At 36.0% G+C, this 17,464-nt stretch overlaps 1 annotated feature.

Moving 5' to 3' along the window:
• Positions 16,660-17,187: an enhancer, noted in NCBI's record as "NANOG hESC enhancer chr3:94755350-94755877 (GRCh37/hg19 assembly coordinates)". NCBI's record gives its function as "activates a minimal SCP1, AML or CMV promoter by ChIP-STARR-seq in primed H9 embryonic stem cells {active_cell/tissue: H9 hESC(primed)}" and the evidence as "EXISTENCE:reporter gene assay evidence [ECO:0000049][PMID:30033119]".

The raw sequence follows: 17,464 nt of genomic DNA, 5'->3' as shown, positions 1-17,464 counted from the left end.
GAGAATCAAATAGTGACTGCCTCACCACACAATGGGGTACGAATGGTTATAAGTCCTACATTTTAGGGGAAAGCATGATGGGTAAGTGTGGATAATTTTAAGGGGTTAATAAATAATTTTTAGGTAAATTCAGTGGGCTTGAATAATGTACAGTGGGCTGGGACAAAACCTGTTGGGCCCACAGAGCAGAGAATGGTTTGTGACAAAAGTCTGTCCATGTGCGTTGACAGATTTCAGTCTTTCTTCCTGCTCTATGAGTTCATTCAGTTAACGAAAACTCAGGGAAGAGACCAGAGGTAATTGTTTTCTTTTTTGATGGGTCTAGATGTTATGTACATAAGGAACTTTAGAGAATAACTTCATCTTGTGCTTACAGAATGATAGAGGATTGAAAGACAGGAGTAGGGGAGAGTTCTTGGAGGCCTTAAGACTTCTTCAGTTCAGCATGTGAAAGTGCCATATTTTAAAGTATCAGTTTCTGGGCTCCAACAGTGTATATTTCTGGACTCTGTTCTATTCCAGTGACCACTTTGTCTATCTTTAAACTATGTCTTCTTGATAACTTTTGCTATAAGTTTTGAAACAAGGTAATCTAAGTTCTGTAACTTTGTTAGGTATACCACGTATATTTTTGGCTCCTGAAGTGGTCTCATGAGTTCATCAATGCTTGCTTGCTTTCTTTTCTTTTTTTTTTTTTTTTTTGTCGCTTTTCTGTTTGTGTTTCTTTTGTGTCATTTCTATTATGATGGATGCATGTTCACCAACCTCTGCTTTTCCATTTTTGCTTTTCTTTGATTTGCTATTTTTGGTCCTTTGCTTTTTCATATGAAATTTATAATAGGTTTAGTTTTTACAAATAAAAAAGCCATTGAGATTTTGAATGGGATAGCATCAGATCTGTAGATTAACTTGAGAAGAATTCACATCACAACAAGATTTATTCTTCTAACTCGTAAATATTATGTCTCTCCATTTATATGTATTTAGGCTTATTTAATATCTCCCATCAATATTTTACAATTTTCAGCATACAGGATTTTCACATTGTTGTCAGATGTTTGTATGCTAGTGATTATTTCACATGTTCTGTTTCAGAAAAAAAAATATTTATTTATCTTTGAAAGGTATTTCTATTAAACTAGAATTCTTAGATGACAGGTTTTTATTTGTTTTTTTCTTTACTGTTTCCTTGAACACACAATTTCCTTTTTTTTTTTTTTTTTTTGTTCTCCTGTCTCAGCCTCCCAAGTAGCTGGGACTACAGGAACCGGCTACCACGCCCGGCTAATTTTTGTATGTTTAGTGGAGACGGGGTTTTACCGTGTTAGCCAGGATGGTCTCGATCTTCTGACCTCGTGATCCGCCCGCCTCGGCCTCCCAAAGTGCTGGAATTACAGGAGTGAGCCACCGCGCCTGACCCTTGAACACAGTTTCTAACCAGGAATCTATTGCATTCTTACCTTTACTTCTCTATGAAACATGTATTTTCTTCTTTAGTTACTTTTAAGATTTTTTTTATGGATCTCTGGCTTGTTTAATCAGTTTTATTAAAACTGATTAATAATATTTCAGGTCAGACATAGTTACTAAAAGGATAAACACATTTTAAAGTTTTCTAATTATTTTTATCACAATGTTTAGAGAAAAAATTAACATAGAGACAAAAGGAAATCAGAAATTTAAATCTGATAGCCTGTGATGGTATATCTGCAAGATAATCGTATTTTACAGTATAAATGCAGAGAAGCAATTAGATATTTAAAAATATTCCTATTAAAACATTTTGGATAGAAAACCTATAGGACTTTGTGTATGTTAGAAAACAGCAAGATAGAAAGAAACGAAAATTATCAACTCATAAGAAGAAGCACCATTATAAAATGGGGAGGAAGAATAAAGATTGAGATGAATTGGGAAGATACACATCAAGTGATGAAATTTTAAGTTTAGTTAGAAATTCAAGTGTATATGTCAAGTAAACAAAATGTATGAGTCTGCATCAAAGCATACAGATATGAGCTGGAAAAGATAGCATCATTTAGTATATAGACAATATTTAAATTTATGATGTGATAGAAGGTGAATTATTAAATACTCATACAAATCATTGTCTTTAAACAACAGAAAACATAAATAATAATCCAAACAGTACAGATCAATATACTGTATTTTTGAAATAACTTGAATCTTTCATAAACGATTTCAGGAAAAAAATTATTCTCACTTTACTATTTATTTGGGGTTTGGATTAATTGGACAAAATTCTGAACAATGTATACAGAAGTGTTCTCAAAAGAAGCCATTTGCTTTTGGGACTTCTCTGTTTTCATCTTATTACCTGGGACATTGGACAGCAACATGAATGCCATACTACCCTGTGGTGTCTTGTCATAGTTTAGGCTATCCATAGCGTTCCCCAAAATGTACCAAGTTAGCCTTAGTCACTAGTCTTACTTACTAACTACAGATCTTTGACAACACGAGAGTCCATACTGTCTTTCCTGAGTCATGGTACAAGCCCTCTATCAGAACTACTTATAGGTTTTTTTGTTTCTGTTTTTGTTTTTGATTTTGACTGAGTCTCGCTCTGTCGCCAGGATGCAGTGCAGTGGCACGATCTCGGCTCACTACAACCTCCGCCTCCCGGGTTCAAGTGATTCTCTTGCCTTAGACTTCCAAGCAGCTGGAACTATAGGTGTGTGCCACCACGCCCAGCTAATTTTTGTATTTTTAGTAGAGACGGGGTTTCACCATGTTGGCCAAGATGGTCTCAATCCCTTGACCTCGTTATCCACCCACCTCGCCCTCCCAAAGTGCTGGGATTACAGGCGTGAGCCACCACACCAAGCTAGGATTGGTTTTTCATCAGTTTGGTGACAAGCCTAGCCAACACACAGGTTATATTTTATCTTTCCTATCTGACTGATAGCTGATGCGATTCTCCTGGAATAGTGCATCTGTAAGATCCCTAAAAACATGATTAAAATAGACAACTAAAATTCTAACATCACAGCTAGATTGACATGTCCAGTTCTAATCAAGTCACTACATAAATTCTTGCCACAGGATATTTGTAGCATAAAACAGGATGGGTACAACATAGCATGCAGATAAAATATGTAGCCCACTAAACTGTCCATTGGGCTGTCTTGTCCTAAATACAGCTTGGTATGAGTGGTCATGAATAGCATGTCTGCATCTCAAAAGTAGAGTTATTTGTGATATTTGGCCACAGTATCAATTCAAAGTCCCCATCTCTTGGGGCTGCTCAGCTACCATGCCAGTTTTTTGAAAGGCATTTAATCTTCATTCACTTTTAGTATATTCAAAGGAGCAAGTCAAGTGCTGACCTTCCGGGAAGGTGGAATAAATTGGCTTCCGATCATCCCTTGGCAGCAATCTTAATTTGTCAGGTCGTTTCAAATCCACACCTTGGACAGAAGCTAAGCAACATGATCCACGTGCAATATTTATCTCAAGATACATTACAATAAAAACAAAATAGTAGAGTCTACAAATCATGAATCCAATGTTAGCTCCAATTGATTGAATCAGAGGACAATGCAACACATTTTTTCTCTATATTCTGCAGATTGAGTATTTAGACAGAGCCAATAAATCAGCAAGTCAATTTCCATTCTTTGTGCAAATGGCTATTTTTACAGATCAAGTGGCTTTTCTCACACATGCCATTAGTTAACACCAGATCTTAATCATAGCTAAGACTATTATTCTCTTGCTCTGAGATACTGTTATGGGATTAAAGTTGCTGCATTCATCCCTGGGATTACAACCAACATACAGTTCCTTTCCCATTTGCCATGAACTCTTCTTTCTTTATTACTTAACTGACATTCTTCCTTTTTTGAAGGAGTGCTCTGGCTTCAACATAATGCCTTACCCATAGACAGAAACATCAGTGATAATTGCCTCACCATATCCTGTTGTTATCTCATTTCTAGGAAGAAGTTTCAGGGCTTGATAGGTAAAAACTTAAAAGACTGTTTCTGCCACTTGGTAATCAGGACACAGTCATAGTTATACCTAAATTAGCTAGAAGGGCTAAAATTTTGTCTGACCCTAAAGTTTATTTAGGACTATTCCCTGACAAAGTTAGCTAATAGATATTACATCTTATGCATCCAATTTTTCTCTGCCCTGGCACATGTAAATGCAGCCCTTGCCTTAGGGCAACAAAATCAGGCAAATCCAAAGAACACATTTTTAAAACTGGACAGATACAAAGTTGTATTATTACATTATTGCTCAAGACCTCATTCTCATCTCCTCATTGTAGTAATTGTTCTGATGAAGTTCTTCCTTTATGTCTATCATATTCTGTCAGGACATGTTCATTTAATTGATTCAGCCAGCCTCTCAAATTTTTGTACCACCCATTTTATTATAAGTGTATGTTATTCAAAATTGTGGATTCAGTGAAACTACTCTGAGGATATTAAAAATGTAATATATATCTTTAAAAGTATATTTTCTTGCTTGCTTGCTGTACAATGGTAAGAGTAATGTGTGTAGGTTAATTAGAATAAATATATTTTGGTGAGCCAAATTAACAACCTGTTTGCTATTCCAAACCTTAATTGTATTTTTCACAGTTGCTTCTGAAACTGAATAAACGAAACATAGAGTAAAAATGCTGGAAATTCTAAAGAACACCCATCAGTAACCCCCAGCTTGGGCTACTGGCAGTAGTTCAAGTATTCCAGCAAGGTGCTGGCCCCTGAGCACTAAGAATTCCACCTAGAGCCATCTTAAGGAGATTGGTTTCCTGCTGGCACAAGCAGAGTTTCTTACCACATTAGTGGTTTCATCTGATTTGAGGAGCAATTGTGTGTGCACAGTCTGAGCATATTATGCCTACTCATTTCATGAACTTGGGAAGCTAACTGTAAGTATCTGACTCAAGTAGTCTCTGTAGCATTCCAATTCCTTAGCTGACCACTTGACCTTTTTGGAGGACATCTACATGAATGACCTGATTGTTTCTGTAAATTCCCACAGAGACTTCCATAACTGAGTAACTCAAACTGAAGTCTTGTTTGTCACACAGTCAGCTAGGATCTCCCTGTCTCAATATACTGTAAGGACAATGGCTACAGCACAAGGGTTAGTGCATGTCAAAACACTATTCTCAGAGTGGGAGCCTCACTCCTTATGTGCCTGTTATTTAAACTGATCTCAGCTTTCCCTAGTGTAAAAATGTGGATTTTCCTCTTCCCCTGGGGTTTTACACTATCCACCAAGTATACTGCGATCAATTTCCAAAACAGCCATTCAACTCTCAGTTCTAGACATTAATTGTGGCCCAATCAGCATTATTTGCTTTGCTGAAAAGAAAACATAGGGTTTAGAACATACTGGGTAGGGGTCAGGGAGGTCCCTCAAAAGCTCTATCATCAGTTGTGCAGGCAGGGGAGAAACCTGGTCCAGTATGTGGGAATGCGTAATGAAATTTCTCTGATATATGGTTTTGAATATCATCTCCACTTTATCAGTGAGAATTATTGTGCTGCTCTCTCTCTTTGGGACTCTTTCTCCAATATTACCAAAGACATAGTAGATATTACTAGTCTCAAAATTATCTGATATCCTTAAGTAGCAGGAAAATTCTCTTTCAATGCCCAATTGCAAATTAGAAATTTTCTTCCAATAGGCTCTACAAGGGGCTGCATCCAGCAGTTTTAGAACTCAAAACACAAGAGGTTTTGGATGAAAATAGTGGTATTTACTCTCTGCCAGAGGGTTCAGTCTGCATAAGTTCTAGTTACAAACACATTTAAAATCTTATGATCCATAAAGTTATAATATACCAGTGAGAGTACCTGAACAACTGCCTTTAGTTAATATTTTAATAATTCTGCCCAAAACCATTTCCAATTTAGATTTAATTTTAGTGGCTTTATGAATAGAAGCCAGCAAAATTCCTACGTGGGAATTTGGGTTCATAAGAACCCAATTAGTACCATCAGTCTTTTGGAATACTTTTAAGTGGTGGAATTAGAAAATTATAATTGATTCTCATAGTTTCAGGAGTATATCTGATTTTATTGGAATACATGATTTCTCTAAATCTCACACATTGGGCTAGACCTCGACATTTAGCCGTATTCTGCCAGCCTTTTATATTTCACATGAGTGACTGCAGTTTTTAACTTGTCCTTCATTTATTTACATAAGGAGTCCACAAACTGGCATCACCAATACAGCGCACTCTCATACTTAATGGTTTTCAGATCCAGGTACTTACAATACCATATTAAGACCATTCTGGTGAATTCAAATATCTTGGGTAAGGACCATAAAGGCAACAAATGCGGGTCATGCATATACTTTTAGTGATGATGTCTTTTGCTGGCTCCAGGCTCAACTGCAGACTTTCTTAATCCTTTCATGAGCATTTCATTCAGATATTTCTAAGTGAAAAAATGATGTCAAGATACAAAGTTAAGAGATTGGTATCTATTTCAACTATTTTTAAAAAATGGGTGAAAAGTAATTGTCATCTAGTTAATTTGGTTAAGAATTAAACTAAATAAATGTAACAATTGAGACAGTCTCTGGTAAAGAAAAAAATATAGTTTTTGGAGTTTGACACAGATGGGTTTCTATCTTACCTATATCACTTAGAAACTATGTAATATCAAGAAACCAAACTGAACTATCTTTACTTACAAACTATATTCATCACTGTTTTTTATTAAAAATTGAGGGTGATAATGCATCATACCTTGTAAGGATATTCAAAGAATTAAGAGAAAATTTCTGAAAAAAATGCGTGCTTTAATAGAGCAGATGATCCAAAAAAGTTGGTGTTATTAATTTCAATCAACTGAGATAATACTTACATAGGATAAAATAGTGTAGCATATTTAGAAGGAATTACTTGGTAGATTAAGTTAAATAATCAGTCAATTCTATTGATACAAAGATACTAAAAAAGACAGTACAGAGTTAAATACTGCAATCTTGTTGCTTATATTTTAGGCCAAGTAGATGAATTTTCTGCAATGACTTAATCTTTCTTTGGTATCTAAATTGGTTATAAAATTGTGGCATTTTTATATTTCATTATGACCTCATATATTAGAAAATTTTGAAAATTATGACAAAAATTAAAAATTATATTTCTACAGATTCATCACTTCTGGTTTTAGTCCTAGAGTTTAGAAAATTGAAGAATTTTGGAATGAGGCCATATAACACCTGTATAACTCTCCTGATATTATTTTTAATAATTAATTAATGTGTAAAAAATCATAATGATTCCACAAAAGAGAATCTTTTCAAGAACAATAATTCGACGAATTTCTACCTGTTTTTAAGTTACATAGAAAATTTCATTTACATAACTAGTTCCAAGAGAAGGGGCTCACTATGGCAAGTCTGTTTCTTGATCTCCTTCCTCCCACATAGACATGTTTTCTTACATCTATCCGGACAGGCATCACAGATAACAGTGGTATACCCAAGAATGCTCATACAAGGAATTTTATCTAGTTATATGTGAAATATTGTACAACACAGACATTTTCTGATTAACAATAGGGATTAAGAATAATATTTTGTCGATACCCCATTTCCTCTGGGAACTGGCATTCTTTGCTGGCACTCCAGTAGACTTTTGACTTGCTAGTAGCAAACTTTGACCTTCTTGTTTCTGCAGATTACTTTGCACCCAAGAGTCAATGATGCAAAGTATTTTACTTTCCTTTTGTGCCAGGGCTATTGTTTCTCTTGATTCTTCTGAGCATCTTCTGCCCGCCTAAGTTAACTCATTATGGTAGGGAATCTGTTCTTCACTCCTGATTTAGTATGTTTTGATAAAAGCATGCTAGTAGCAAATGTTTCTGAGAATCCCTTAATGATAGAAATAAGGTTTATTTTCAAGACTGTTTTAAAATTATTTTATGAGTAGTAGCAGGAAAATTTTTACTCAAATTTCTGTTACAATTTTCAACTGTTAATGGATTTATTTTGCTCTACTTGTAAAGCATAGCGATGCATTATGTATACATGCTGAAATATCTAATGTCACTAAAAGTTATCTTAAAATGAAAATATAATAACAGGATTATCTCTAAACAGAGTAATATTTTTTAAAAGAGAATTTGGTGTTTGTATCACATTATGACTAAGTTTTTAAAAATCGAGAATTAAATATGATTATTTGAAAACAGAAATTAATGCACTTAACACTTTAATTTTTCTTTTTCACAAAACTAGTAATTATATAGGATTGAAAAATAAAGAAAAACAAAGGGGAAAATAAAGAAAAAAAGATTTGAGAGACATATGGTGAATCATTTAAATCAAATTAAAAAAAACTACTGGGTAACAGAAACAAAAGGGAAAATGTGAATTTATATCACGGAGACTGAGTTCCTCCAGATAATTTCTATCTCATTAAATAAGAAAAAAAAATGTCACTTGATTTAGAAAGACAGATGTGGAGTTTTATATAAATAAGAAATAAATTCTACATGTTCAGAGAAGAGAACAGTGGTTTTAAATACATGTTGCGGAATTCCCCAGAAACTGTGTCGCTCCCAAATTGGAGAACTCCAAAGAAGGGTTTTTAAGTCTGAGAACAACATGTAAGTACTATCTCAGTCTCTACCTCCCCATGGAATACCTGCAGGCAGTTCCCTGACTGAGGGAAAGGCAGTGACTGTTACTTAGTCACTTGACCCATTTCCCTATAGGAAGTTACTAGTGCCCTTTTCAAAATCAAACTACAGAGGGAAAAAAAAATCTCTTTACAGTCCATTTTGGATGGAGAAAATATCACAATGCATGGATAATTTGGTAGGGGTAAGGGAGAAGACAATTATTTGAGTAAGTGTTTACTGAGCCTGGTCTGCTAGCTAACTTATTTTATAAACACTTTTAAAGTATAAAATTTAGTCATGCCTTCATGAAACTTACATTGAAGGATAAAGAAAAACTCATATGAAACCAGTATTCACATTCCAAAGTAGGCAATGGGGGAAAATGCTACATATTTTAAAAATAAAATGTTAGAGATATATATCACTCTCTATGTATACATGTGTTTATATTTATAACATATAAACACACACATAAAAACTAAATATATCTGTTTTTATTTTAAGTATTTCTTATTCTTCAGAATTTACTGTGAAGCATGTTTACAAAGTTTTAGAAAAATAAACCTTTTTTCTGATTTTTAGTTATTAAGTGGAAAGTACTATATGTATAATGACATCTATTTTGCTTCTATTATTGAGCAATTAAGCCAAATATGTACTCTATCAATCAATCATTTAAACACAGGAGGAGTTGATCTCAGCAAGATCCCCTTTTCAGTCCATCACTTATGATAAATAGGAGTCTGCTAAGACTGTACAACACACTGTGTATGCAAAGAGGGGTATCCCACTGTGTTTTTGTATGGCTTCGATTCCAAAGGGTAAAAGAGACACCCTCTACGTTATAATATAGTTCACAGTATTTGCCATTGTGCAGTCTTGCAGATTCCTGAAAAATATATTTTATTAAACTCAGAAAATAAAAATTGGCTTTCAATTTTTTCAAAACTAGAAATCAGATTATTGATTTATAAAATGGAAAAAATGGTTCAATGCTAATTGCCCAACTATGACTAAAAAATTAGATCAAACATTATTTTCAAATACTATTTAGAGTCAAATGAAATTTGTACTATGATAAGCTAATACAAAAATGAATTTAATGGAAATTCAATTTGTATAGAATAACTACGGTTATAAGAAATGAGTAAGAACAATTTTTTCTCATGTTTTTCTTTAATGTGTTTCCCCAAACAAGCTCTCTAAGGGTACTTAATTCAAAGCAATTGCATAAGTCTTCACAGAAAGAAAAAAGAGGGAGTGGGAAGCCAGAAGACAGAAAGAGGTAGAGAAGGAGAAAAAAAAGGGGGGAGAGAAAAGGAAAAATAAGTAAGTAATAGCAAAAGACAAAAACTAGTGTTTAAGAATCAAACAGCGCAGTTTATAAATTTGATGTTTTCTATCAAAGACAAAGTTTACAGTACCTGGAATAATAGTGTAGTTAGAGTATTATTCCATAAATATTCCTTGATTTCTTGACTTGTTGTAGTAAACCTCAAATCATTTTTCCAAGGTGTTCCATAAGGTGTGTGCACTCCCATCCAAAGAAAGTGTTCTGCCTTCAGTATAAATGATCCCATCTAATTTGCCTTATTTAATTTTGTATACCTAATCTTAAGATCTAGGTGTGGCACAGAGTAGCTGGCTAAAAAGTTGTTAAATGAATCAATAAGTTAAACTTAGAAAATTTTGTGTAGTCACTTCCTTCTCTAGGAACATAACATTTTAGAAACATGTATATACATCAAGAATATAATTACATCCTTCTAACTCAAGTGCCCAAGAAACACGATATCTTTAATTTCTATATGATTTAGTTCTGGACTTTTAGCCCCTAGGTGACTAGGAGGCAAAACAGTTCATCTCAAACCTCCTAGAGCATCTTCTTTTATTTAAGGTGATGCTATAACTCTGGATTCTTCTTAATAATCTTAAAATATTCAATATTAATCTTAAAATATCCAAGATCGAAGATTCAGATCTCTATCTTGAGTTAATGAATGAATTTCACACATAATATTAGGTCTTAATATAACAGAAGCTGTTTGTTTACTCTAGCAGCTTTTGGATCAGTATAAACAAACAAAAACAGTCAGTAGTTTCAGAAAAATTGGAGTTATGAATAGAATGAGTTAACTGTCCATGGAGGAACTTTTATGTTTGATATTCAGAAATGTAACTAAATTTTCTTCTCCGAAGAACCTAAATATAATTTGAAGAGATTAGAGGCAGGTGTTCTGTAAAGTATAGTATCTAAGAAGGAACACACCGGGATGACAAGACTAGGTGGAAAGAAGTTATCAAAGTTAAATTTGGGTTTGCTTGTCAATTTGTTTACTTTTTTCCCTGTGACCAATTCAGATGCTACAGAATAAGGCCCATTTATCTAAAAATGAAGATAAATCTCATATTTGGATGTGCAATATCTGGTCTTAAAACACCTCTGCTTCTCAACAGAGAAAATCCTGTAACTTGTAAATTGCTTGTCATCTCCTATCTTTGACCACCAAACACATCAAAATCACAACCCTGCCTTTTTCTTAATAGTCAAAAGTGGCTATGATTCAATGATGGTATCATAATGTGTGAAACAAAGTATATTCTCAAAACATGCATACCCCTGTATTAATTGATATAAAAAAAATTCTTTAATTCTTGCCTCAAAACCTACCTGTTATAGTTGCTTTTTGTAATTCTATGCATTTGTTTTCCTTTCAACTATTGATATAAAAAAGGAATATATTTTCTCTGATGCAAAATGAGAAACCAAGTTGATAATGTTGTGGATAAAAATTTATGGATATTATATTTGATATTGCATTGACTATGAAATATTAACCATGAAGTTTAATGTTTATTTTTTAAGATCTGAACCCTGAGTTATTCATACAATAAAATGTCTGAAAATAGTTGCAAAAAATTAAAATCTTGTTACTAATATTTTTCTATTAAATGTGGTTTACAACAGTTAATATTTGAACCTCTTTATAATGGTTACTGAATTTACCAAATGACAAAGTTTGGTATTTTTGGCACATTTTATCTATATTTATTTTATTTAAGAAAATAAAGGCAACATCTATTTGTTTATCATGCAAAATGTAATCAAACTTAATTTAAGTTTTATATAGTATATAAGAAAAGTGCTGCTTCAGATTCTGTGATTCAAATATTAAGTATAAAACAGGGTGAATTTTGACTTACCCCCCAAAATATGTGTTTTATAATAAAAAAATCACATTTTGAATATAAACCAAATTTAAAACTTCTGATACTATCATCAGGTAACTCAATTGCTACAAGTATTATTTCATATAATAGTCCATCAAATTTTGGAAATGTGCCTTATGATTTTAAAGAAAATATTTTTTATCTGTGTTAGCTATCCAAGAATATTAATAGGAAGAATGGCATAAAAAATAATTTAAGTATTATATAACAGATCTTTTGGCTTACATCTTATAACCTCCCTATGGCTCCTGAATACACATGATGGGAAAGAAGTTGAGCATACTAATTTTTAAAATATTGTTTGAGATAAGCTGACAAAAGCAGTAAATAATTAGAGTTGAATTCAGCAATTCAGGCTATAAATATCACTTTCTTTTATCCTGTCCACTGCATAGACAATAAAGAATACATTTAGTTAATATAGGCCAAGCTTCATGAATAGATGGAATAGAGGATATGAATTGGCATTCTGTTTCAAGTCAATGCCAAAAAAATGCCCTTTTCAAATCTAGATATTTCCCATTTAATCTTGTGAATTTTCTTCCATGAGATTCTCTTATAAAATATAAACATTTGTGGGAGGTTTTTTTTTTCTTTTTTTTTTTTTTTTTTTGAGACAGAGTCTCACTCTGTCACCCAGGCTGGAGTGCAGTGGCACGATCTCGGCTCACTGAAACCTCCACCTCCCAGGTTCAAGCAATTCTCCTGCCTCAGCCTCCTGAGTAGCTGGGATTACAGGCGTGTGCCACCATGCCCGACTAATTTTTGTATTTTTAGTAGAGACGGGGGGTTTCACCATGTTGGTCAGGCTGGTCTCAAACTCCTGACCTTGTGATCTGCCCACCTTGGCCTCCCAAAGTGCTGGGATTACAGGCGTGAGCCACCACGCCTGGCCTCATGGGAGTTTTTTTGTAATAATAAGAATAATCATGATTGTCATGACAATGGCTAACATTTCACAATGTTTACTATGTGCAAGGTACTATTGTAAGTAATTTACATATAAGGATTTATTGCAACATTACAATAAATCTAGAAGGAGATATGTTATCAGTTTTATAGACAAAAAAGCTGAAATACTGAAGTGTTAACATGTGCAAGGTCACATGTCTATTATTGACAAATCTAGAATACATTATACAAAATTTCTCTGTGCTGTTGAAGACAAAGAATCGCATTTCTCCTAAGATAATGAAACAAAATGCACCATTCGATAAAAATATTAGCTGTCTGGATAAGGCAGCATATATGCATGAAGAAGGGAGATAAGACACAGAAATTGTAAAAGTGCGTCCCTGATGAAGGAAACTATAATTATTCAAGAAATGAAATCATTTTAATAACAACCTTTAGCTACTCTAGGGTTTTAATTTACAGCTTTTAAGCATTTTTTTCTGGGTTGAATTTATATATAATACTGTTTGTTGAAATCTTTTTATTATTTTCTCTCTTTTTTTGATATTTGAGTAGCATTACATTGCATGAATGTACAATACTTTGCTTCCCTAGCTCTTAAAAGTAGACATAGTCACTTAGCCAGTCAGATGCTGCCTCCCAGGACCTGAAATTCCACTGAGCTAACACAAAGACTTCATCAAAGTGGGGAGATCATTCATGGTGACAGCACGGGGAAAGTCCAAAGGCAGCAAAAATCCAGTGATAGCGATAGAGGTCAGAATGGAATTCTAAACACACGTTTCAGTTGTATCATTGATACGGTTTGGTTCTGTGTTCCCACCTAAATCTCGTGTCAAATTGTCATCCCCGCATGTTGAAGGGAGGGCCTGGCGTGAGGTGATTGAATCTTGGGGGCAAACTTCCCCCTTGCTGTTCTCATGATAACAGTTCTCATGAGATCTGGTTGTTTGAAAGTGTGTAGTACTTCCCTCTTCTCTCTCTCTCTCTCTCTCTCTCTCTCACTCTCACTCTCTCTCTCTCTTTCTCTCTCTCTCTCTCCTGTTCTGCAATAGTATGACATGTTAGCTTCCCCTTTGCCTTTCGCCATGACTGTAAGTTTCCTGAGGCCTCCCAGCCATGCTTCCTGTACATCCTGCAGAACTGTGAGTCCAATAAACCACTTTTCTTTATAAATTACTCAGTCTCAGGTAGTTCCTTATAGCAGTGTGAGAACAGACCAATACAATGATCATACCTACAAATTTTCTACCTAGGTTTCCTTAGCTCTGCCCATATTCTTAGACTGATTCTCCAGCCTTGCTATGAATTCTCAGAGCTTAATGATATCCTTTGAATTAAGTTTCTGCTTATTATAGCAGAACCGCTTTCTATTACTTGCCACCATGAATCTTTATTGGTCAACTCAGTTCTTTCAATACCTCAAGATTATATGTCCAACACCCTTATTTTATACTAATCTGAGGTTTAAAAAAAAGTTTAAAATTTCTGATTATACCAATAGAAGCAGTTAACGACAGTGGTTAAATTTCCTTGTCGCCAGGTCAATAGTTACCTATAATTCTGAAAGGTATAAAAGTTAAGAATCATGAGTCTTCTCATTTACTTCTTTGTTTATTAATTCATTCATTTAGCAGAAAATAAGTACAACATTATTGACATAGAAAAATGTCCATTTAGGTATAGAAAAATTGTGTGTAAATAGTAATATACATATGGTCATGCATAAAAGAGATGTGTGTACATTTTTGTAAATATATTGAGATGCTGTATTTTAAAATTAAAATAATGTTTGTATATGGGTAATGATAATTTAAAAAATTATATAATTAATTTTTTTTGTATTGTCCACAATAAACACAAATTGCTTTAAAATTAGAAAAAGATGTGAGGGTATTGGGAGGCCGAGGCGGGCGGATCACGAGGTCAGGAGATCGAGACCATCCCGGCTAAAACGGTGAAACCCCGTCTCTACTAAAAATACAAAAAATTAGCCGGGCGTAGTGGCGGGCGCCTGTAGTCCCAGCTACTTGGGAGGCTGAGGCAGGAGAATGGCGTGAACCCGGGAGGCGGAGCTTGCAGTGAGCCGAGATCCCGCCACTGCACTCCAGCCTGGGCGACAGAGCGAGACTCCGTCTCAAAAAAAAAAAAAAAAAAAAAAAAAGATGTGAGGGTAGATGACAGATAACAGGGTTAATGTACAGCTCCCACATGGATGGACAGAACAATGTGTGGAGACTCACACTATGAACTTTTGCTCCAAGAATCATCACAGGAACATACCGGAAAAACTGAAACAATTCACAGATTATTTGAAAGAAACAGCACGCCACTGCAAATTCCATGAGACAGGCAAAAACTGTGAGCTCCCAAAGTGTGAGGGGGAGGGAAAACCTGCCTCCGAACACACATTCTCACTGGGGAATCTGGAAATCCAGATTACAGGAGAAGGATTTAACCTGACCTAGAGCTAGAATGGATTTAGAAAGCTGCATGAAATATAAAAGTAGAAGTATCTTCAGGAAGAGCCTTATAGGCACTTCTATTCTCTAGCTGGAGCCCAGGGAAACCATCTCTAACTACACCTCACAGAGGCTCTCGAGGAAGGCATCCAGCGGAGTTAGGGAGGGGTCATGGGGTATAAGAAGCTTCCAGCTGAATTTTATAATAATTTTGAATGGGCATGAAGTTTTTTGAGCAGAATCTGAGGGGTGAACAGGAACTGCTGCAGATATGAGTGCAAGAACCCGTGGTTGAAGTTGTGGACAGACAGGGAGGAGTTAGGCCTAAAAGCTGAGCATTCTTGCTCAATGGGGAAGCTTACAGCCTGTGGCAGGTTTGAGTTCCACACTCAGGCTGGCCAGATCTAAACTGTTGTTGGTGGGGGACTAGGGGAGTGAGAACAGACTCAACAACAGTGTGGGAGCTGGGTGAGGCCTTTCACTACTGGCTATCCCCCACTTCCCTATCAAATTATATGCCACAGCAGAGGCAGCCATAGTCCCCTCTGGAACATAACTCCCTTGGCCTAAGAACCACACCCTTGTCCCCCACAGTGGCTATGGCAATCCCTGCCCAAGGAGAGTCTGAGCTAAGACCCATCCAACCCTGCCCCCACCTGATGGTATTTCTCTACCCACCCTGGTAGCCAAACACAAAAGACATGCAATCCTGAAAGCTTTATGGTCCTGCTCATCCTTGAGAAACCAGAATACTTCCCCCAGCCAACTTAGGGCAAGCTTATACCCCACTGCTAATACTGCAGCTGCTGCTCTCCTGCAAGCTCCACCTCTGGGCTAGAGGCCAATCAACTCAGGCCATTATAGCAACTTATTACAGAATAATCCTACTCCCAGGAAGAAGAAAACAACAGATAATACCACGAACTGCAACATCCTCACTAACCAGAGGTCCATGTGACAATTTCACTACTAGCGTAATCAGCATTCAAGAAAGCCAGCACACTAAACATCTACAACCAAAGATTCTCACAGAGTCTCTTCTCTCCTCTGCTACCCCCACCAGAGCAGGTACTGGTATCCATGGCTGGGACACCTGAAGACAGATCACATTACAAGACTCTTTGCAGACATTCCGCAGAACCAGCCCAGAGCTGGTAGCCCTGCTGGGTGACTATCCTGAGAAAAGCAATAATAATCACTACAGCGCAGCTGTCAAGAAGCCCATCCCTAGGGGAAGAGGAAGAGCACCACATCAAGGGATCATCCTGTACAACAAAAGAATCTGAACAGCAGGCCTTGAGTTCCAGATCTTTCCATTGGTGCGTGGTTTATTCTAGCAGAGACACAACTGCAGCGCTGGGTGCAGTAGGCGAAGTCTGTACCTACACCCCAACAGGCAGGCAGCCTCTGTGAACATTAAGGGCTTTGGAGAAGGGGTCCTTGTTCCCCTCTGGTACTACACAGCAGACACAGGTGGGGCTTCCCCCAAAGCAGTGCAGCATGAAGGCACAATCCAGGGTGAGAGCAGTTCCAGCCTTTCTGGAAAATATCCAGGGTGAAAGCAGTTCCACAGGAGGAGCAGACCCCAGATTCAGGCCTGCACGAGAGGCAGAGTCATCATTCCTCCCTACTTGGAGCATCAACATTCCTATAGATGAAAAGAGATGCCTATCTTATCTGAATAGCTGAAATGCTACAACAAGAGTGAGGCTGTGAGGTGAATAGATTTCCTGCTGACCCAGCAGGGGAGCTGAGATGGTTCCCACTCATCACACTGATAAAACGTCAGCACATCTAACTGAGATCTCCCCCAGCCATCCTCATCAAGGCTGGGACCTCAGCCCACTGTTGGTTATTAGATCAATCTGCCTGCCTTAGCCACAGCCAATGCCTACCCAAGTTTACCTCACCAATTGTCCTGAACCCTGAATCATCAATTGAGTAAATAAAACAAGGGAAAAAATTAAATAAATAAATAAAATATACACCACAAGAGAACGAAATAAAATTCAAGATATTCCTGCTATTCCAACACAATAGGAGACAGTGAAGTAGCTTGCACACCAAGAATATAACCACTACAACCAGCTTCAGGGAAAGCCAGCACACAAAGACATTCTATGACTAAGGAATTCATACAGAATCTTCACCCCTACAAATACCAAGAACCAAATTAGTCTAAGGTAAACATTAGTCTGTTCCTTAAGAGGGGAGAAAAACAGTCCAATT

The sequence above is a fragment of the Homo sapiens genome, chromosome 3 (genome assembly GCF_000001405.40).
Source record: "Homo sapiens chromosome 3, GRCh38.p14 Primary Assembly".
Classification (NCBI taxonomy): domain Eukaryota; kingdom Metazoa; phylum Chordata; class Mammalia; order Primates; family Hominidae; genus Homo; species Homo sapiens.
The sequence above is the reverse complement of the archived record's forward strand: the minus strand, read 5'-3'. Positions and strand labels throughout refer to the sequence as shown.